Below are 23,051 nucleotides of genomic sequence, written 5' to 3' on the forward strand. Positions count from 1 at the left end.
AAAGAATTTTAAATATACATAAAGACTAAACTATTGAAAGAGTTGCAAAATTATAAGGGGAGGGAGCTTTCATACACCAAATATATATAAATACATACATATATAGGTACACACACACACACACACACACACACACACACACGAGATGGGGGTCTCTATGTTGCCCAGGCTGGTCTTGAACTGCTGGCCTCAACTGATCCTCCCACCTTAGCCTCCCAAAGCATTGGGATTACAGGCATGAGCCACCATGCCAGGCCCTAATTTTTTTTTAATTAGCAAAAATAAGAATATTTCCAATGCAAGGGAGAACAGAAGAAAGGAGGCTGGCTGCAGTGGCTCACACCTGTAATCCCAGCACTTTGGGAGGCTGAGGCGGGTGGATCACGAGGTCAGGAGTTCAAGACCAGCCTGACCAACATAGAGAAACCCCATCTCTACTAAAAATACAAAAAATTAGCTGGGCATGATGGCGCATGCCTGTAATCCCAGCTACTCAGGAGGCTGAGGCAGGAGAATCACTTGAACCTGGGAGGTGGAGGTTGCAGCGAGCCAAGATCGTGCCATGGCACTCCAGCCTGGGCAACAAGAGCAAAACTCTGTCTCAAAAAAAAAAAAAAAATTAAAGAAAGGAAAGAATGTAATATTATAGTTTGTAACAATACAGTGAGAAGTAGAAAGAATAATTACCCCAGGTTCTGCCATTAATTACATGATTAAGTCTCTTTGGTAAAGATACTTCCTTGGGCCTCAGTTTCTTCATCTATAAAACAATAGTTTTTAGACAATCTCTTAAAATCTATTCTAGGTCTAAAATTCTGTGATTTATGTATTAAAAATATCATAACTAGGTGTGACAGTATGTGCCTGTAATTCCAGCTCCTCAGGAGGCTAAGGCGGGAGGATTGCTTGAGCTCAGGAGTTCAAGACCAGCCCAGGTAAAATAGTGAGACCTCATCACACTCACACATACACACACACACGCACACACACGCACACACATAGAGTACATAAGATGTTTACTTCTTATAGACCAACATGCATCCAAAGCAACCACATTCCTGAGAAATATTCCTAACTATTCAATGACTTACCTTCTTCATCTGTGAAATGGGGGCGGAGGAGCACAGAAGTGCTTATCTCAAGGAGATGTTGAAGATTAAGGTAGATAACGTATGTTTTTGTTTAGCACAGCACCTAGCACATGGTAATCACTCAATAAATGCCAGGCAATTATTTTTTCACGTTATACATTGTTCCCCTGGATGAAGACTAATTGCTTTTTCCTCTTTGATACTTTTCATCTCAATCAAGAGAGTATTTTTTTATTATTATAAAAGTAACAAATGCACATGGGAGAAAATTCAACAATTCAAGAAGGTACAGGTTGGGTATCTCCAATTCCAAAAGCTCCAAAATTGGAAACTTTTTTTGTGTGCTGTTATGACACTCAAAAGAAATGCTCATTAGAGCATTTCAGATTTCAGATTAGAGATGCTAAACTGGGACGTATAATGCAAATATTCCAAAATCCAAAAAAACCTAAAATCTGAAATACTTGTGGTCCCAAGCATTTTGGGTAAGGGATACTCAAACTGTAAAAATAATAACAGCAGTCACAGTGCTAATATTTATTGAGCACTTATTATGTGCCAAGCATTAGGCCAATGGTTCTTAACAGATGGAAATTTTGCCCCCAAGGGGACATTTGGCAATGTCTGGAGACATTTTTGGTTTGTCAGTCAGTGCTGCTGCTGCTGGTCATTCTATGATGCACAGGACAGCCCCTCACAACAAAGAATTAGCTGTCTCAAAAAAAGAAAACTACAAACCAATATCCCTGATGAACACAGATGCAAAAATCCTCAACAAAATATTAGCTAACCAAATCCAACAGCATATCAAAAAGATAATAATATATCATGATCAAGTGGGTTGAATACTAGGGATGCAGGGATGGTTTAACATACCCAAGTCAATGTGATATATCACATAAATAGAATTAAAAATAAAAATCATATGATCATCTCACCAGATGCAGAAAAAGCATTCGATAAAATCCAACATTCCTGTATGATAAAAACCCTCAACAAAATTGGCACAGAAGGAACATACCTCAAAGTAAAAAAAGCCATATATGACAAACCCACAGCAAACATCATACCGAATGGGGAAAGGCTGAAAGCATTCTCCCTGAGAACTGGAACGAGACAAGGATGCCCACATTCACCACTTCTATTCAACACAGTACTGGAAGTCGTAGCCAGAGCAATTGGATAAAGGAAAGAAATAAAGTGCATCCAAATTTAAAAAGAGGAAGTCAAACTGTCGCTGTTTGTTGATGATAGGATTATATATCTAGAAAAACTTAAAGACCATCCAAAAAGCTCCTAGACCTGATAAATAAATCCAGCAAAGTTTCAGGATACTAAATCAATGTATACAAATCAGTAGCACAGCTATACACCAACAATGACCATGCTGAGAATCAAATCAAGAACTCCATCCCTTTTACACCAGCTGCAAAAAATAAAATAAAATACTTAGGAATATACTTAACCATGGAAGTGAAAGATCTCTACAAGGAAAACTAAAAAACACTGCTGAAAGAAATCATAGATGACACAAACAAATGGAAACATATCCCATGCTCATGGATGCACATAATCAATATTGTGAAAACGACTATATGGCCCAAAGCAATCTACAGATTCAATGTAATTTCCATCAAAATACCATCATCATTCTTCACAGAACTAGAAAAAACAATTCTAAAATTCATATGGAACCAAAAATGAGCCCACACAGCCAAAGCAATACTAAGCAAAAAGAACAAATCTAGAGACTTCACATTACCCAACTTCAAATTATACTACGAGGCTACAGTTACCAAAACACTATGCTACCGGTATAAAAGTAGCTAGGTAGACCAATGGAACAGAACAGAGAGCCCAGAAATAAAGCCAAATACTCACAGCCAACTGATCTTCAACAAAGCAAACAAAAACATAAAGTGGGGAAAGGACACCCTATTCAACAAATGGTGTTGGAAAAACTAGCAAGCCACATGTAGAAGAATGGAAGTGGATCTTCATCTCTTGCCTTATACAAAAATCAACTCAAGATGGATCAAAGAGTTAAATCTAAGACCTGAAAACATAAAAATTCTAGAACATCACATCAGAAAATCTCTTCCAGACATTGGCTTAGGCAAGAAGTCATAACTAAGAACCCAAATGTAACAAAAACAAAAATAAATAAATGGTACCTAATTAAACTAAAAAGCTTCTGTTCAGCAAAAGAAATAATCAGCAGAGTAAACAGACAACCCACAAAGTGGGAGAAAATATTTGCAAACTATGCATTAGACAAAGGACTAATATCCAGAAACTACAAGGAACTCACACAAATCAGTAAGAAAAAAACAATCCCATCAAAACGTGGGCAAAGGACATGAACAGACAATTCTCAAAAGAAGATATACAAACAGTCAACAAACCTATGAAAAAAATGCTCAACATCACTGATTATCAGGAAAATGCAAATTAAAACCACAATGAGATAGCACCTTACTCCTGCAAGAATGGCCATAATTAAAAATTCAAAAAATAATAGATGGTAGTGTGGATGTGGTGAAAACACAACACTTTTACACTGCTGTTGGGAATGTGAACTAGTACAACAACTATGGAAAACAGTAAGGAGATTCCTTAAAGAACTGAAGGCAGAACTACCATTCGATCCAGCAATCCCACTACTGGGTATGTACCCAAAGAAAAAGAAGTCATTACATGAAAAAGACACATGCATACACATGTTTATAGCAGCACAATTTGTAATTGCAAAAATAAGGAACCAACCTAAATGCCCATCAGTGAACGAGTGGATAAAGAAAATGTGGTATATATACACCATGGAATACTACTCAGCCGTAAAACAGAAAGCAATAATGGCCTTTGCAGCAACTTGGATGGAGCTGGAGGCCATTATTCTAAGTGAAGTAACTCAGGAATGATAAACCAAATATCGTATGTTCTCACTTACAAGTGGGAACTAAGCTATGAGGATGCCAAGGTATAAGAATGATATAAAGGACTTTGGGGACTCAAGGGGATAAAAGACTACATACTGGATACAGTGTAACACTGCTCGGGTGACAGATATACCAAAATCTCAGAACTCACCACTAAAAAACTTATCCATGTAACCAAAAACCACCTGTACTCCAAAAACTATTGAAATAAAAAAACAAAAAATGAATAGAATTATCTGCCCCATAGTGTTAACACTGCTGAGGCTGAGAAACCCTAATCACAGTAAGTTCCTCCCATTCACTTTTCATCTTTTAATACAGCTTTAGGAGGCACATATTATTATTATTCTACTTTACAGATGAGAAAACTGAGGGTTAGGGAAGTTAATTAAGTTAACCAGGTCACAAAGTTATAAAGTGGAGGGGCAGAATGTTGAATCTCTATCATCTGATTCTATGAGTTTATTGAGTTTCCTTCCAAAATTTAACATGCACACAAAAAGCATGTATTTTCTCCTTTTAAGGATACCAAACATTGTTCTGCTACTGGAATTTTTTTATATTACACACATCTTTGACATCTCTCTATATTAAATTTATAGGTTTATATCATTCTTAACAACAACGTATTCCAAAACACGTATACATATGTAACAAACCTGCACGTTGTGCACATGTACCCTAGAACTTAAAATAAAAAAACAACAACAAACTATTCTAAAAAATGTTTAATTCATCAGTATCCAACTTACGCACACTAATGTTGCTTTTAAAATTTACTAGCACGGTGGCTCATGCCCGTGATCCCAGCACTTTGGGAGGCTGAGACAAGAGGATGGCTTAAGCCCAGGAGTTCAAGACCAGCCTGGGGAACAAAGTGAGACCCCATCTCTTTAAAAAAATTAAAAAATTAACCAGGTGTGGTGGTGCATGACTGTGGTCCCAGCTACATAGGAGGCTGAGGCAGGAGGAAGGCTAGAACCCAGGAGGTCACGGCTGCAGGGAGTCAAGATCACACCACTGCCTCCAGCCTAGGCGACAGTGAGACCCTGTCTCAAAATAACAACAACAAAAACAAACAAAAATGCTGTGGCCAGGCACAGTGACTCACATCTGTAATTCCAGCACTTTGGGAGGCTGAGGTGGGAGGATCACCTGAGCCCAGGAATTCAAGACCAGCCTAAGAAACATAGCAAGACCTCGTCTCTCCAAAAAAAAATTTTTTTAAACAATTAGCCAGGCATGGTGACACATGCCTGTAATCCCAGCTACTTGGGTGGCTGAGGTAGGAGGACAGCTTGAGCCCAGAAAGTTGAGGCTGTAGTGAGCCATGATCGAGTCACTGCACTCTAGACTGGGTGACAGAGCGAGACCCTGTCTCAACATTAAATAAATAAATAAATTTTTAAAATATAATAAAACAATGCTGTGATGTATGTTGGTTTGCAAGAATATTTGTAGAATTAATTCTTTTTTGAGATAAGAGTCTCGCTCTGTTGCCAGACTGGAGTAGAGTGGCGGGATCTGGGCTCACTGCAACTTCCGACTCCCTGGTTCAAGCGATTCTCCTGCTTCAGCCTCTCAGGTAGCTGGGATTACAGGCACACGCCACCACATCCAGCTAATTTTTGTATTTTTAGTAGCGACTGGGTTTCACCACGTTGGGCAGGATGCTCTCGATCTCCTGACCTCGTGATCCGCCCGCCTCCGCCTCCCAAAGTGCTGGGATTACAGGCGTGAGCCACCGCGCCCAGCCGAATTAATTGTTAAAAGTGGAAGTGCTGAGACAAAGGATATGTGCAATGTAAATTTTTACAAATGTTACCAAATTATCCCTCCAAAAAGACTGCATTAACCTACATATTTATATGGTTTTGCCCACATTGGGATTTATCAGCTTGAAAAATACTCAAGGCTGGACGCAGTGGCTCACGCCTGTAATCCCAGCACTTTGGGGGGCCAAGGCGGGTGGATCACGAGGTCAGGAGTTCAAGACCAGCCTGGCCAATATGGTGAAACCCCATCTCTACTAAAAAATACAAAAATTAGCCGGCCATGGTGGCGCCCGCCTGTGGTCCCAACTACTCAGGCAGGCTGAGGCAGGAGAATCGCTGGAACCCAGGAGGTGGAGGTTGCAGTGAGCCGAGATCGCGCTACTGCACTCCAGCCTGGCCGACAGAGACTCCATCTCAAAAAAAAAAAAAAAAAAAAAAAAAAAGAACAAAAACACTTCAAAATTTGATAGGTGAAAAATATATAACACTGTTTTTAAAGTTGCATTTCTGTTGTTACAAGTGAGAATGAGCATTTTTCCATACCTTCATTGGCTGTTTACTTTTCTTTTTTCTGTAAATTATCTTTTTTCATTTTCTATTGAGTTTTTCATCCTTTTCCAGGTGTTTTGTAAAAGCTCATTGCATAATATGGAAAATAGACTCAAATCAAATCCCAATCCCAATCCAATTATTCATACTAAAAAATACTGCACTCACCAAAAAATTGCTTGTTGTCTTCATAGTATTTGTTTCCATATTTGTCTTCCCCCACTAATGTACCAACCTTCGCATCATTTGTCCTGTGAATACCCAAAAGAAAACAGACATTTTAGAATGATTCTTAGTTCAAAACATAAACGGAAATAAAGTGAGAGTAACAACTTTCAGACACAAGGGCTGCTGCATCAACTAGCAAAATGAAGAAGTGCTGGGGATGGGAAAAGATGAATTGACAACTGATGTGCTCAAATTACACTAAAAATATAAATGTAGTCTCTTCAGATTACAGGACTACTTGTATCTACTATCCCTCAGCCAGGAGGCACTGGAATTAGCAAAACCTTTAGGAAATCAAAAAGCCAAAGTATTTCATCTTCTTACAATGATACGAAGGTCTCCAGGCTCTTTCATTCCACTCTGGGTCTCCATTTAGGTTTCTGCGAAACTATGCTGCTCGTGGGATCAGTGAATGTCAGGAAGAGAAGGGACCATCATTATTACCTTCAACGCCTTACAGACAAGGAACTGTACGGCAGTGCAGGGAAAAAAACTTTACCAGGGTCACTGAGTTAATGTCTTGTAATCCTCATTACTCTCCAGGGCGTGGGAAAAGAGGGGAGCCCAGATGCCCTTGCCTCCGAGTCACAGCTCTGACTCTACAGATAGCTTCGGTCTTGTATCGGGGATATATGGGACAGAGACCAGCCTGGGGGTGGCAAGGCAGAGATTGGGGCGGTTGTCCTTGACAAGAGCTGTGGATTCTCCAAGGTGACCCGAGCCTGGGACCCCTTCCAAGAAATCAGCCAGCGAAAGTCCAGCCCCAGAGGCCAAGAGCATGGCTCTGGCCGCCTACCTGAAAAAAACCCGTAGATAGCCTCGGAGACCGCCGTGGCCGGTGATCTGCTGCAGCCCGCGTTTCAGGACCTGCACTAACTCCATCTTGCCTCGCTGGCCCCGCCTCCCGGGTGCGCCGAGCAAAACCCACCGGATGGAAGCTGCCACTCAGCCGCAGGAAGCCCACGCCCAGAAGGTTCTCACGCGAACGCCAGACGTGGTGGCTCTGCGCGTGCGCAGAGCTAGGTCTTGCCTACGCGGTCATGTTCTGGCTTCCCAAGTAGGCAGAATTGGTTTCCCCTGGAAGCAAAGGTACCTTAAAATTTAGTTTTCAGAGGTTAAATCTAGAAGGCGGGCATATGCTGGAAAGCTCACCTACACGAGGCTTTCTCACACGGGGATTCCCCCTTTGGGAATTTCAGTTTCCTCATCTAAAAATAATTGGCTCTGGTGGGCGCGGTGGCTCACTGTTGTAATCCCAGCACTTTGGGAGGCCGGGTAGGGAGGATCGTTTGAGCCCAGGAGTTCGAGACCAGCCTCGCCAACACAGCGAGAATTCTGTCTCTACAAAAAAAAAAAAAAAATTAAAAATTAGCTGGATGTGGTGGCGCGTGCCCGTAGTCCCAGCTACTCGGTAGGCTGAGGCTTAGATGGGAGCATCGCTTGAGCCTAAAAAATTTCAATATTACTTCATTTGTTAACCACAATTCTTCTACAAAGAGAAACCTCCCTTCAACTATTTGGCTCCTGAGATACAATTAATGTAGGAAAGGCAGTATGGGTGCTTGATTCTCTTACTTTTTTTTTGTTTTTTAATTTTAGAGACAGGCTCTCTGTCACCCAGGCTGAAATACAGTGGTGTGATCATAGCTCACTGCAGCCTCAAACTCCTGTGCTCAAGCAGTCCTCCCATTTAAGTAAGTGCCACCACCCCTGGCTAATTTTTTTTTTTTTAGAGATGGGCATCTTGTTATGTTGCCCAGGTTGGTTTTGAACTCTGGCCTCAAGTGATCCTCCTGCCTCAGCCTCTCAAAATGCTGGGATTACAGGTGTAAGCCACCACACCCAGCCGATTCTTTCCCTTATGTGTGTTTTCAAAATAACAATTTAGTTCCCTAGCTTTTTTTTTTTTTTTTTGGTAGTGGTGGTTAAAAACACAAAATATAAAATTTACCATTTTAACCATTTTTAAGTGTACAGTAGTGTTAACCACATGCACATTGTTGCGCAACAGATCTCTAGAACTTATTCTTCTTGCAAAACAGAAACTTTATATCCATGGAACAACTTTTTCCTCTTTCTCCATCCCCTGCCAACCACCATTCTACTTCTGTTTCTAAGAGTTTAACTACTTTAGATACTTCATATAAGTAGAATCATGAGGTGTTTGTCTTTTAGGACCTGGCTTATTTCACTTAGCATGATATCCACAAGGCTCATCCATAGTGTAGTATATGACAGGATTTTCTTCTTTTTATAAATGTTGAATAATATTCCACTGTATGTATATGCCACCCAGTTACCTGTCCATAAACATTTCTGCTGATTCCGCCTCTTGGCTATTGTGAATAATGCTGCAGTGAACACGGGTGTGCAGATATCTCTAAGATCCTGTTTTCAGTTCTTTTGGATATATACCCAGAAGTGGATTGCTAGATCATATGGAAATTTTATTTTTTATTTTTATAGGAATCCCCATACTGTTTTCCATGGCAGCATCACCATTTTACATTACTAACAACAATGCACAAAGGTTCCAATTTCTCCACCTCCTCACCAACACTACATATTTTCTGTGTTTGTTTGTATGTTTGTTTGTTTGTTCTGAGACGGAGTCTAACTCTGTTGCCCAGGCTGGCGTGCAGCGGTGCGATCTCGGCTCACTGCAACCTCCCCTTCCCAAGTTCAAGCGATTCTCCTGCCTCAGCTTCCCGAGTAGCTGGGATTACAGGCGCCCACCACCACCCCCGGCTAATTTTTGTATTTTTAGTAGAGACGAGGTTTCACCATGTTGGCCAAGCTGGTCTTGAACTCCTGACCTCAGGTGATCCACCCGCCTTGGCCTCCCAAAGTGCTGGGATTACAGGCGTGAACCACCACGCCCAACCTGTGTTCATTTGTTTTTTACAGTGGGCATCCTAATGGATGATGAGGTGATACCTCATTGTGGTTTTGATTTGCATTTACCTGATTACTGATGTTAACCATGTTTTCATATGCTTGTTGGCCATTTGTATATCTTCTTTGGAGAAATGTTTATTCAAGTCCTTTGCCCATTTTTGAATCGGGTTTTTTGTTGTTGTTGTTGAGTTGTAGGCATTCTTTATGTATCGTGGATATTTTCTCCCGTTCCCTAGGTCATCTTTTCATTCCGTTGATTGTGTCCTTTGCTATGCAGAAGTTTATGTTTGATGTAGCCCCAATTGTCTATTTTTACTTTGTCTGTGCTTTTGGTATCATATCTGAGAAATCACTGCTAAATCCAATGTCATGAAGCTTCCCCCGTTGTCTTCTAGGAGTTTTATAGTTTCAGGTCTTACATTTAGGTCTTTAGTCCATTTTGAGTTAATTTTGGTATATGGTGTAGGGTAAAGGTTGAACGTCATTCTTTTGCTTGCGGATATCCGGTTTTCCCAACACTATTCTCTCCCCACTATGTAGCTTTGGTACCCTTGTCAAAGATCACTTGACCAGATACTTGAGAGTTTAACTCTAGGTTCTCTATTCTGTTCCGTTGGTCTATATGTCTGTTCTTATGCCAATACCACTCTGTTTTGATTACTGCATCTTTGCACAATGTTTTGAAGTCAGGAAGTGGGTTCTCTATTCTACTCCGTTGGTCTATATGTCTGTTCTTATGCCAGTACCACTCTGTTTTGATTACTGCATCTTTGTACAATGTTTGAAGTCAGGAAGTGGAAGGCCTCCGGCTTTATTTTTCTGAAGATTATTTTGTCTATTCAGGGTCTTTTGAGATTCCGTATGAATTTTAGGACTTTTTAAAAATCTGCAAAGAAAAATGGCCCTGGGATTTTGATAGGTATTGCAATGAATCTGTAGCTTACTTTGGGTAGTATGGGATTTTAACAATATTAAGTCTTCCAATCCACAAACACGAATGTCTTTCCATTTATTTGCATCTAATTTCTTTCAGCACTGTTTTGTAGTTTTCAGTATATAAGTCTTTTGCCTACTTGATTAAGTTATTCCTAAATATTTTATTCTTTTTGATGCTATTTTAAATGTGATTGTTTTCTTAATTTCCTTTTTGAGTTGTTCATTGTTAGTGTTTAGAAGGCAACTGATTTTTGTGTGTTGATTTTGTACCTTGCAACTTTGTTGAATTTATTTATTAGTTCTAACCATTTTTTGGTGGAATCCTTAGGGTTTTCCACATATAATACCACATCATTTGTTAATGAAGATAATTTTACTTCTTTTCCTTTTTTTTTTTTAAGGCAAGGTTTCACCCTTATCACCAAAGCTGGGGCTCAAGTGATCCCCCTGCCTTAGCCTCATGCACAGCTGGGACTACAAGCATGCAACATCATGCCTGGCTAATTTTTAAAAAGTTTTTTGTAGAGATAGGGTCTTGCTGTGTTGCCCAGACTAATCTTGAAATTCTGGCCTCAAGCAAGCAATCTTCCCGTCTCAGCCTCCCAAAGTGTTGGGATTACAGGATGAGCCACCGTGCCTGGCCCTTCTTTTCCAATTTTCAGCTTTTATTTATTTATTTTTTGCCTAAGTGCTCTGGCAAGGGCTTTTAGTAATATGTTGAATAGAAGTAGCAAGAATGTACGTACTTGCCTTGTTCCTGATCTTAGAAGAAAAGCTTTCAGTTTTTCACTATTGAATATGATGTTAGCTGTGGGCTTTTCAAACATGGCCTTTATTAGGTTGAGATAATTTCCTTTCATTCGTAGTTTGTTGAGTGTTTTTGCCAAGTGCTTTTTCTATATCAATTGAGATGATAATATGGTTTCTGTTCTTCATTCTGTTAATGTGCCTCTCAACTTAAAATGGCATTACATTCTGACATGCCCATTGTAAATAAAAAATATCTAAATAAAAAATGTACCGAGGCCAGGTGTGGGGTGGCTCACACCTGTAATCCCAGCACTTTGGGAGGCTGAGTCAGGCAGATCGCTTTGAGCTTAGAAGTTCAAGACCAGCCTGGGCAACATAGTGAAACCCCATCTCTACAAAAAATTAAAAAAAAAAAAATGGCTGGGCATGGTAGCATGCACCTGTGAAGCTGAGGCTGGAGAATTGCTTGAACCTGGGGAGCAAAGGTTTCAGTGAGCCAAGGTCATGCCACTGCATTCCAGCCTGGGTGACAGAGTAAGACCCTGTCTCAAAAACAAAACAAAACAAAACACCACAAAAAAAATGCATTGTAAACACCAATAAACCCATCATAAAACAAAAAAATTGTAAGTCAGGTCATGATCAGTTGCAAACCATTTGTAGTCCATTACACTGATTGATATTTGTATGTTGAACCATCCTTGCATTCCAGGAATAAGTCAAGTCCCACTTGGCCATGGTGTATAATCCATTTTTTTTTTTTTTTTTGAGACAGAGTCTCACTCTGTTGCCCAGGCTGGAGTGTAGTGGTGCGATCTCAGCTTATTGCAACCTCCGCCTCCTGGATTCAAGCGATTCTCCTGCCTCAGCCTCCCAGGTAGCTGGGATTACAGGCGCTTGCCACTATGATTGGCTAATTTTTGTATTTTTAGTAGAGACAGGGTTTTGCCATGTTGGCCAGGCTGGTCTTGAACTCCTGACCTCAGGTGATCCACCCGTCTCAGCCTCCCAAAGTGCTGGGATTACAGGAGTGAGCTACCATACCCGGCTGTATAATCCTTTTAATGTGCTGTTGAATTCAGTTTGTGAGTATTTTTGTTCAGGATTTTTACATGAATATCCATCAAGGATATCTATAGTTTTCTTGTAGTATCTGTTGTGGTTTTGGTATCAGGGTATTGCTGGCCTCATAAAATGAGTTTAGGCTGGGCGTGGTGGCTCACACCTCTAATTCTAACACTTTAGGAGGCTGAGGCGGGCAGATCACTTGAGTCCAGGAGTTTAAAACCAGCCTGGCCAATGTGACGAAACTGTGTCTATACTAAAAATACAAAAATTAGCTGGGCCTGGTGGTGCATGCCTATAATCCCAGCTACTCAGGAGGCTGAGACATGAGAACTGCTTGAGCCTGGGAGGCAGAGGTTGCAGTGAGCTGAGATTCCACCATCACACTGTGGCCTGGGTGACAGAGGGGAAACTCTGTCTCAAAAAAAAAAAAGAGTTTAAAAGAGTTACCTTGGCCAGGTGCAGTGGCTCATGCCTGTAATCCCACGCAGCATTTTGGGAGGCCAAGGCGGGTAGATCACCTGAAGTCTAGAGTTCGAGACCAGCCTGGCCAACATGGTGAAACCCTATCTCTACTAAAAATACAAAAATTTAGCCAGGTGTGGTGGTGTGCTCCTGTAACCCCAGCTACTCAGGAGGCTGAGGCAGGAGAATCGCTTGTACATGGGAGGTGGAGGTTGCAGTGAGCTGATTGCACTATTACACTCCAGCCTGGGCAACAAGAGTGAAACTCCATCTCAAAAAAAAAAAAAAGTGTTACCTTCTCTCTTTCTTCTTTTTTTTTTCTTTTCTAATGAGATGGGGTCTCACTATGTTGTCCAGGCTGGTCTCAAACTCCTGGGCTTAAGTGATCTTCCCACCTCAGCCTCCCAAAGTGCTGGGATTACAGATATGAGCCACTGTGCCCAGCCAAGTGTTACCTTCTCTTTAATTTTTTGGAATAATTTGAGAAGGATTGGTATTAACTTTTCAATTAATTCAAATGTTTGCTAGAATTCTCCTGTGAAGTATCTGTTCCTTGGCTTTTCTTTGTTGGGAGTTTTCTGATTACTGATTTAATCTCCTTACTAGTTATGAATCTGTTCAGATGTTTTCTTCTTTTTCTTTATTTAAAATTTTTGTTTGTTTGTTTTGAGACAGTCTCACTCTGTTGCCAGGCTGGAGTGCAGTGGTGTGATCTCGGCTCACTGCAATCTCCGCCTCCTGGGTTCAAGTGATTCTCCTGCCTCAGCCTCCCGAGTAGCTGGGGCTACAGTCATGTGCCACCATGCCCAGCTAATTTTTATATTTTTAGTAGAGACGGGTTTTCACCATGTTGGCCAGGATTGTCTCGATCTCTTGACCTTGTGATCCACCCTCCTCGGCCTCCCGAAGTGCTGGGATTACAAGTGTGAGCCACCGTGCCTGGTCTCTTTTTCTTTATTTTTATAGATGGGATCTCACTCTGTTGCCCAGGCTGGAGTGCAGTCATTCAGTCATAGCTCACTGAAGCCTCAAACTCCTGGCCTCAAGCAATCCTCCCACCTTGGCCTCCCAAAGTGCTTGGATTACAGGTGTGAACCACCATGCCTGCCCTGTGTTTTCTATTTGTCAAAGTATTTTCCTTTTAATTTCTTCTTTGAGGCATTGGTTACTCAAGACTGTTTTGTTTATCACTGCTGCTTGGTTGGTTGGTATTAAAAAAAAATGTGTTGTTTCATTTCCACATTTGTGGATTTTCCAGTTTTCGTTTTGTTTTTTACTTCTTTTTCTTTTCTTTTTTTTTTTTTTTTGAGACGGTGTCTCGCTCTGTTGCCCAGGCTGGAGTGCAGTGGCATGATCTCGGCTCACTGCAACCTCCGCCTCCCTGGTTCAAGCGATTCTCCTGCCTCGGCCTCCCAAGTAGCTGGAACTACAAGCACACACCACCACACCTGGCTAATTTTTATATTTTTAGTAGGGATGGGGTTTTACTGTGTTGGCCAGGCTGGTCTCGAACTGCTGACCTTGTGATCAGCCCACCTCGGCCTCCCAAAGTGCTGGGATTACATTACAGGCATGAGCCGCTGTGCCCAGCCCTTTGCTTTTGATTTCTAGCTTTATTCCACTGTAGTCAGAAAAGATACTTGGTATGATATCAATCTTCTTAAAATTTGTTAAACCTTGTTTTGTGACCTAATATGTAATCTATCACAGACAATGTTGCATGTATGCTTGACAAGAATGTGTATTGTCATTGTTAGGTGGAATGTTCTCTGTATGTCTGTTAGGTCCAATTGCTCTAGAGCATTGTTCAAGTCCTCTGTTTCCTTTTCGATATTCTGTCTGGGTGTTATATCCATTATTGAAGGTGGGGTTTTGAAAACTACTTTTGTTGTGTTACTATTTCTATTTCTCCTCAATTCTGTCAGTGTTTGCTTCCTATATTTGAGTGTTCTGATGTTAGGTGCATATTGAATTGTTATATCTTCCTAGTGGATTAACCCTTTTATCATTTTGTAATCCCTTTGTCTCTTGTGACAGTTTTTCACCTAAAAGTCTATTTTGTTTGATATAAGTACGGCCACTCCTCTTTTTTTGTTACCATTTGCATTAAAAATCCTTTTTCTGTCTTTTCACTTTCAACCTATGTGTGTCCTTACATTTACCCTATGTAAATCTCTTATAGAGAGCATATAGTTAAGATTCTGGTGGGTTTTTTTTTTTTTTTTTTTTTTGGTCCATTTAGCTACCCTGTCTTTTGACTGGGGAGTTTAATTCTTGTACATTTAAAGTAATTACTGATAGGGAAGGATTTACTACTGGCATTTTGTTAATTGTTTTCTGTATTTTTTGCTGTTGTGTCTCTCTCTCCTCTCTTGCCACCTTCCCTGTGTTTCATTGGTTTTTTGGTAGCAATTTGCCATTCCTTTTTCATTTTCTTTTGTGTATCTTTTATAGGTATTTTCTTTATGGTTATGTTGTCCCTAGGTTTTTTTTTTTTTTTTTTTTTTTCAAACTGAGGCGGGGTTTTAATATGTTGCCCAGGCTGGTCACATGCTCCTGGGCTCAAGTGATCCTCCCATCCTAGCCTCCCAAGTAGCTGGGATTATAGGCACATGCCACTGCACCTGGTGTCTCTAGCATTTTTAAAGTACAATATGTACTTATAGATTTAAATGTTTGATATGTTTCAACCCATTGCAGTTATTATTCTAATCAATTACCAAATTGTTTTATCTTTGGTTAGTAGAGACCTCTTCAGGTTGGTTCCTGAGTTTCTGAGACACAATCTAGTCATCTTTGATAGTTTTATTATCATTATTTTATTTTTGGTGTGACAAGATGTTCCCAGCTCATCTTACATATTTCCTACCCGGACCTGCAATCAGCCTTTCTTCTGGGGAGCTCTACTCCAGGGCTTATGGTTGCTTAAATCTCAACTCTATCACTGTATTAGTACCCTCTCACACTGCTAATAAAGGCATACCTGATACTGGGTAATTTATAAAAGCAAGAGGTTTAATTGACTCACAGTTCAGCATGGCTGGGGAGGCCTCAGGAAACTTACAATCAGGGTAGAAGGGGAAGCAAAAACATCCCTCTTCTCATGGTGGCAGAAACGAGAAGTGCAGAGGGAAAGGGAGAAAAGCCCCTTATAAAACCATCAGATCTCATGATAACTCACCCACTATCATGAGAACAACATGAGGGTAATTGCTCCCATAATTAAAGCATCCTTTCCACAACATGTGGGGATTATAGGATTACAATTCAAGATGAGATTTGGGTGGGGACACAGCCAAACCCTATCAATCACTAATTAGCTATATTGAGCAAGTTGCTTACACCTTAGTTTACTCATTTGTAAAATGGGGTTAATAATATTACCCATCTCATGAGATCACTGTAGGCATTAAATAAGGTACATAAAAAACACAGTGCCTGGTGTATCATAAGTACTCAATAAAGGTTAGTTTGATAAATTACTTCTAAATAACAATAGAGACATATGTCTTCTTGAGCAGATTTTTCACAGAACATTCTGACTTCCTGTTCTAATTTTGATCAGTTGTCTTTAGGCCTCATTCATGAATGGATGATCATTCTGGGATTTCTTTTCATTGTGTTTCTGAATAAATGAGTCTTATTTTATCTTGGATCCTGCATATTTTTCTTTCTTAGAATTCTCTCATTTAGGGTTGCTTGTTTTTTTTGTTTGTTTTGGTAGAGCACATTTTTGAGACTTTTTTCAAAAATGCATGTAGGAGATAACATTTCCCTCGATTGATCCTTTACTTGGTCATAAAACCCTAGGTTCAAAATAGTTTCCTCACAGAACTCTGAAAGCATTCCTCCATTGCCCTCTAATATCTAACATTTAGCTGGGTGTGGTGGTGCATGCCCATAGTCCCAGCCACTTGGGAGGCTGAGGCAGGAGGATTGCTACAGCCCAGGAGTTAGAGGCTGCAGTGAGCTATGATCGTGGCCACTGCACTCCAGCCTGGGTGTCAGAGTGAGACCCTGTCTCAAACAAAACCCCAAAACCTCTAACATAGTTGATGAGAATCCTGCTGCCAATCTGATACAAATTCATTTGTTAAAAACCTGTTTTTCAATCTTTTGAAGTTTTTCAGATTTTTCTATTTGTCTTTAAAGTTCTGAAATTTCATGAAGATTTATCTAGGGCTTTTGTAGTTGATGTTTGTTGGAATTCAGCATCATCTTTGAATTTGGAGATGTGACATTTTTAGCAGTAGAAATTGTTTTAAATAATTTTTCCCCTACATTTTCTGTTACTTCTTTCCGAAATCTGGGTATTAGGTGAACATTGACCCTTCTGGATTGATCCCCTATTATCTTTTTAACGTTACCTGAATATTTTGTTTTTTCTGCATATTTTCCATTTTCATCTTTGTGCTTTACATTCTGAACCATTTCTTTGCATTTATGTACCAGTTCACTAATTTGTTCCTTGTCTAGGTCCAGTCCATCAGTCCTGATAGATTTTTTCAACATGATTTTTAGTTTAAAGAATGCTTAAAAAAGAAAGAAAGAAAGAACTCTTTCTTTAATCTCTCTTCCTTTTTTTTTTTTGAGACAGAGTCTCACTCTGTTGCCCAGGCTGGAGTGCAGTGGCGTGATCTCGGCTCGCTGCAACTCCACCTCCCAGGTTCAAGCGATTCTCCTGCCTCAGCCTCCCAAGTAGCTAGGACTACAGGCGTGCGCCACCACACTCAGCTAGTTTTTGTATTTTTAATAGAGACAGGGTTTCACCATGTTGGTCAGGCTGGTCTTGAACTCCTGACCTCGTGATCCGCCTGCCTCAGCCTCCCAAAGTGTTAGGATTACAGGTGTGAGCCATTGTGCCTGGCCAGTCTCTCTTCTTTTTCATAGTATCCTGTTCTGATTTTTTTTGTCATTAACTTGGTATCAACATTATTATAGAACAACTAAAGTTAAAGAGACACACAGAATTCAGTTGGATAATACCGACATGTTCATGTGAACAAACATTGCCAGAAGCCTTAATTCTTTCTTCAATGATCTTAGCTTCAATTTAGCTCATCCATTTTGATCATTTTCCCTCTTAAATTTGGTACATTGAACATACGTACCTCACTGAAGAAATCATATAGTTCCATTTTCTGAACTGATTTCCCACTCCTAGCAACAACTACTTCCAACCCTTTTAGCTTAGTTATTCCCTACCATATTTCTAAATTACATGCTTATAGTATTTCTAGAGTTTTTCCAACTTTAGGCATTACTTGTTGACTTCTCAACATAGGTGAGGACTTTTAGGGCTTTCACACACTCCCCTCCTCACACCTAGCTCCCCCTCCAACTTCCTGCTCCATTTTTCATATACGGTTTACTAAATTTTCTGTTACATATCCATGTAAGGACAATTTAGTGTTTACAACTTCTCAAGGGCTTACTCCCCTCCCTTGGATACAGGGAATTGTGGAGGAGATCTGGAGATCTAACAGCACCTCATTTTTTCCACATAAGGATTTATTTTTCTATCAAATATTGGGAAATATACAAAAGTGCCTATTTGATCTTAAGAATCTACAGTCAGCTTAATAAGTAGAATAGTATCAGAGATTCAAGTTTTCAAAAAACATGGCTGAAAAAACAGCTTTGATTCCCTAAACTCTTCCAGAATCTTCCCACTTTCCTGTCAAAGGGCATAGTTTATCTTCCCTTGAATGTGGGTGGGTCTTTGCATCAATAAATAAAATGACATGGAAAGCAATGTTGCTTGGTTTCTGAGGGTAGGTTAGAAAAAACCATCTGGCTTTTCCCTGGCACTTCCTCTCTCAACACTTCCTCCAGCAGCCACATGGAAATTACCCTTCATTTCCCACAAAATGGAGTCCAGTCTGTAGCTGAGTAGTTTTCTTAGCCATCTCCTGCCCATACAAGTTTGAAGGTCCAAGATGATACCCTCCTGCCATTTTTTTTTTTTTTTTCAAATTTTAGAGACAGGGTCTCACTCTGTCACCCAGGCTGGACTGCAGTGGCATCATCATAGCTCACTGCATCCACCAGCTCCTGGGCTCAAGCCATCTTTCCATCTCAGCCTCCAGACTAGCTAGGGCAGCCATGCACCACCATGCCCAGCTTAAGATGTTACAATCCTTTAAACTTCTTATGATTTCTTATGTATCAATTTGTAAACAATTCCATAAGATGAAAACCACCCCCAACCTCCCAGGCCCCAATCTTGTCCAGGTAAGCCTTGTCTACCTGGGTTTCCAAGTGAGGCTGCTGAGATGGAATATTTTTTCCCCCAAATGAGGGAAACATTTCTAGTATTTCTGGTTCCATATGCTCTTCCAGAAGCTTGCCACTTCATCATCAGGAGGTGGAGTCTATTTCCCCTCCTTTTCCATCAGCACAGACCTTTGTGACTTCTTCGATGAGTAGAATGCAGCAGAAGACACTGAATTAGTGTTTTTTTCATTTTTTTTTTTTTGAGATGGAGTCTTGCTCTGTCACCCAAGCTGGCGTGCAGTGGTGCAATCTTGGCTTACTGCAACCTCCGCTTCCCAGGCTCAAGCGATTCTACCACCTCAGCCTCCCGAGTAGCTGGGACTGCAGGCACATGCCAGCAGGCCTGGCTTTTTTTTTTTTTTTTTTTTTTTATGTAGAGATGGGGTTTTGCCATGTTGTCCAGTCTGATCTTGAACTCTTGAACTCAGGCAATCTGCCCGCCTTGGCCAAAGTGCTGGAATTACAGGTGTGAGCCTGTATCCCCTGCCTAACACTGGATGAATTCTAATGCCAGGCAAGAAATGGTAACAGAGCTCCCACGTGGCCTTCTCAACCCTTGTTCTTGGAACCTAGCCTCTAGGTTGTGAGGAAGGGAAACAGGACTAGGTATGTGTTCTGGCTTCAGCTCCACCTGAAGTCCCAGCAAACAGTCACTATCAACTTCCAGACATATGAGTGAATGATTACATACATTCCAACCTCACTATTTGAGCTCACCTAGCTGTGGCTGAAAGGAGCAGAGACAAGCTGTCTCTCCCAAGCTCTGTCCATGTTGCATATTCATGAACACAGTACATGTTGTTTTAAACCGTTACGTTTTGGGATGGCTTGTTTAAAAGCAAATAGTTAGAACTCTGTCAATACTTTTCAAGCCCCTTGTATTCTGTTTTTATCCTCTTCCCACCCCTTCAGAAGTAACTAGTATTCTAATTTAGTATTATTTCCTTTGCTTTCACAAAATTAGCTTTCCCACATAAATACCTCTCAACAATGTATCTGCCTGTTTTCAGTAAACCAGTTAAATTATGGTTTTGTATACTTTTGGGCTTTTTTCATACAACATTGTATTTTGGGGATTCACCCATGTTTATAGTTTATTCCTTTTTTAGTGTTGCATAGTATTCCATTGGGTGATTATACCACAATTAACTTCTCCATTCTCCTGTCAATGGATATTTGAACAGTTTTCCTTTTTTGCTCTTACAATGCTGACATGAATATTTTTGTATGCCCCCTGGTACATGTGTGAGTTTCTCTAGGATAACTTCATGCATGTTCAACTTTCTATTTAATGCAAAATCTTTCCCGAATTTATTGTACCGACACTCCCTCCATCAACACACATATTTTTACTCCACATACTCTACGTTTGGTTTCGCCAGACTAAAATTTTATCATTCTGGTGGGTGTGTATTTACTTCCAAAATAGACTTTCAGCAAATCCTTCATCTTCCCCTCCAGAGATGTCATAGTACAAGAGCATTTTGGAGGATCTGTGGTACAAATCAGATTGCTTCACAGTTTTCCACACTGCAGGATAAAAAGTCCTTCTCAGGTTTGCTAGGATCATCACTACTAATCTATTTTTAGCTTTCAAAAAGTTGTGGTTATCATTTATTTCTGTCCCATTTTTTTGTCTTTGTAAGATGCATTAAAAAACAAACGAAAACCATAAAGCAAACCAGGTGTGGCAGTTCACACCTGTAGCCCAGCTAATCAGGAGGCTGGGAGACTAATCAGGAGGCTGAGGTGGGAACATAGCTTGAGCCCAGGAGTTCCACCCTGGCCAACACATTGACACTTGGTGTCTAAAAAAAATAAAAACAACCCACAAACCTTTAGCTGTTTTAATGCAGTTTTAGAAGGAACTTAGGGTTAAATGTATGCATTCAAGGCATCTTTCACCAGGCATTAATTTTTTAATTTCAGTAAATTTTTTCTAAATGTTTTTTGGCTTTTCAAATCTACTTGGTTATTTTTGCTGCTGTTTCTTGTTTACTTTTAGATTCAATTTTTTTCTCCTTAAAACATATCATATAGTTGCATTCTGCATGTGACAATTTTAATATCTAATACTGTCTTTGAGGGTCTTTATGTATTGCTTATTTCCTTGTGAGTTTGATAATTTTGTGTACTCATATTTGGTTGAGCCTAATCTGTGAGAATATCAAGATTTTAAATTAAGGGTTGGTAAACTATACTCCAAGAGCCAAATCCAGTCCACTGCCTGTTTTTGTATACGCTTTATTGGACCACAGGTATGCCCACTCATTTATGTTGTGTATAGTTACTTTAGCACTTTTTGAGTCGTTTTAACAGACACTGCATGGCCTATGAAGCCAAAAATATTTCCTTTCTCAACTTCTGTTCTCAATTATGAATATTTTCTCCAGAGAAGATTTACACTTGCTTCTGCCAGGACACAGGGGGTACTACTGACCTGAAACAACCTTAGCCTTCTTTAGGAAGTCATCTCAATTTGGTGAACTCAGCTAATAGATCAAAGGCCTTCAGAGTATCTGTTCCTCTATGCTGCTAAAAATAGCAGTTGTCTTCTTTGACTATATGATGATTTCAAGATGCCATATCTTTTAAAATTTATAATGGTGGATCATTTCCACCCACAGACATGTGTCCTTTTGTGGAACTTTTCTTACATTATTTAATAATTTCCTTTTCTGAAATCTTTCCTATTTTCCCTTTCTTAAACTCTTAGTATTGAAAGTGTTAGACCTTGGCCGGGTGCGGTGGCTCATGCCTATAATCCCAGCACTTTGGGAGGCCGAGGTGGGCAGATCATTTGAGGTCAGGAGTTTGAGACCAGCCTGGCCAATATGGTGAAGTCCTGTCTCTACTAAAAACAATAAGAAATTAGCCGGGTGTGGTGGCGTGTGCCTGTAATCCCAGCTACTGGGGAGGCTGAGGCAGAATTGCTTGAACCTGGGAGGTGGAGGCTGCAGTGAGCTGAGATCGCACCACTGCACTCCAGCCTAGGCAACAGAGTGAGACTCAACCCCCCTTTCCCCTGCCAAAAAAAAAAGACCTTGTTTGATTCTCTGATTTTATCATTTCTATCCTATTTTCTATTCCTTTGTCTTTTGGGTTTACTTTCAGGGTGAATTCTTCAATTTTATCTCTCAATCCTTCTAATGAATTGCCTTGACTATCATTTTTAATTTCTAGGGGCAATTCCTTGCTCCACATTTTTTTTGGGAAAATTCTGTTCTCCTTTTATGGATACATCTGGTTTCTCTCAAGATACTAATTATATTTGGGGAATATTTTTCTGATCTTTGCGTTTTGTATCTGCTCCCCACCCCTCATGTCTGGTCTCTCATGTATAGAGATTTTCCTTAAATATCTGGCTATCCTGGGCTGTAAGTTCACATTTAATAATAGGGCACTAAAGAACTGAATGGAAACCCAATACATACACACATGACTTGGTAATTGGAGGGCTTCATTGAAGAGTGATAAGGTGGCAAACAGGCTTTATTTATTTATTTTTTTATCATTAAGGGATAACCAAAATGGAGATCTTTTCTCTGGGGCCATTTAGCTTCTCCAAAGAAAAAAAACCTGGCAGAGAAAACTGTACTTGATTGCCAGTATCCTGGGAAAAGGGTAGCAAGCCTACATATCAACCAAATGCAGACTTTTTTTTTTTTTTGAAACAGAGTCTCGCTCTGTTGTTGCCCAGGCTGGAGTGCAGTGGCACAATCTCAGCTCACTGCAACCTCTGCCTCCTGGGTTCAAGCAATTCTCCTGCCTCAGCCTCCTGAGTAGCTGGGATTACAGGCGTGTGCCACCATGCCCGGCTAGTTTTTGTATTTTTAGTAGAGACGGGGTTTCACCATGTTGGTCAGGCTGGTCTTGAACTCGTGACCTCGTGATCCACCCACCTTGGCCTCCCAAAGTGCTGGGATTACAGGCGTGAGCCAACGCTCCCGGCCTCCAAATGCGGATTTTCACTTCCTCCACATTTTCAACCCTGTATCTTATTCACACCATTTGTTATCCCTGGTATCCTGTTAAGTCCTATGCTCTTCCAGTTCAGTTTCTCAGAAGAATTATCTCTG

The 23,051-nt window shown here is 40.4% G+C and overlaps 1 protein-coding gene across 2 annotated transcripts in view, besides 2 other annotated features; it reads right to left on the reverse strand.

The window, feature by feature from the left end:
- The window catches only part of NDUFA12 (NADH:ubiquinone oxidoreductase subunit A12), a 32,365-nt gene extending 24,884 nt beyond the window's left edge, over positions 1-7,481 (reverse strand). For both annotated transcript variants that reach the window (NM_001258338.2, NM_018838.5), the window contains exons 1-2: positions 7,379-7,481; positions 6,523-6,605 (exon numbers count right to left, since the gene is read on the reverse strand). In NM_001258338.2, the coding sequence (NP_001245267.1) occupies positions 6,523-6,605; positions 7,379-7,464 (169 nt within the window). In that variant the 5' untranslated portion in view covers positions 7,465-7,481. The remainder of the gene's footprint in view (positions 1-6,522; positions 6,606-7,378) is intronic.
- Positions 7,112-7,739: an enhancer, noted in NCBI's record as "H3K27ac hESC enhancer chr12:95397104-95397731 (GRCh37/hg19 assembly coordinates)". NCBI's record gives its function as "activates a minimal SCP1, AML or CMV promoter by ChIP-STARR-seq in primed H9 embryonic stem cells {active_cell/tissue: H9 hESC(primed)}" and the evidence as "EXISTENCE:reporter gene assay evidence [ECO:0000049][PMID:30033119]".
- Positions 7,204-7,603: an enhancer, noted in NCBI's record as "active region_6804". NCBI's record gives its function as "activates an Ori minimal core promoter by ATAC-STARR-seq in GM12878 lymphoblastoid cells {active_cell/tissue: GM12878}" and the evidence as "EXISTENCE:reporter gene assay evidence [ECO:0000049][PMID:35858748]".

Source organism: Homo sapiens, chromosome 12 (assembly GCF_000001405.40).
Source record: "Homo sapiens chromosome 12, GRCh38.p14 Primary Assembly".
NCBI classification, from domain to species: domain Eukaryota; kingdom Metazoa; phylum Chordata; class Mammalia; order Primates; family Hominidae; genus Homo; species Homo sapiens.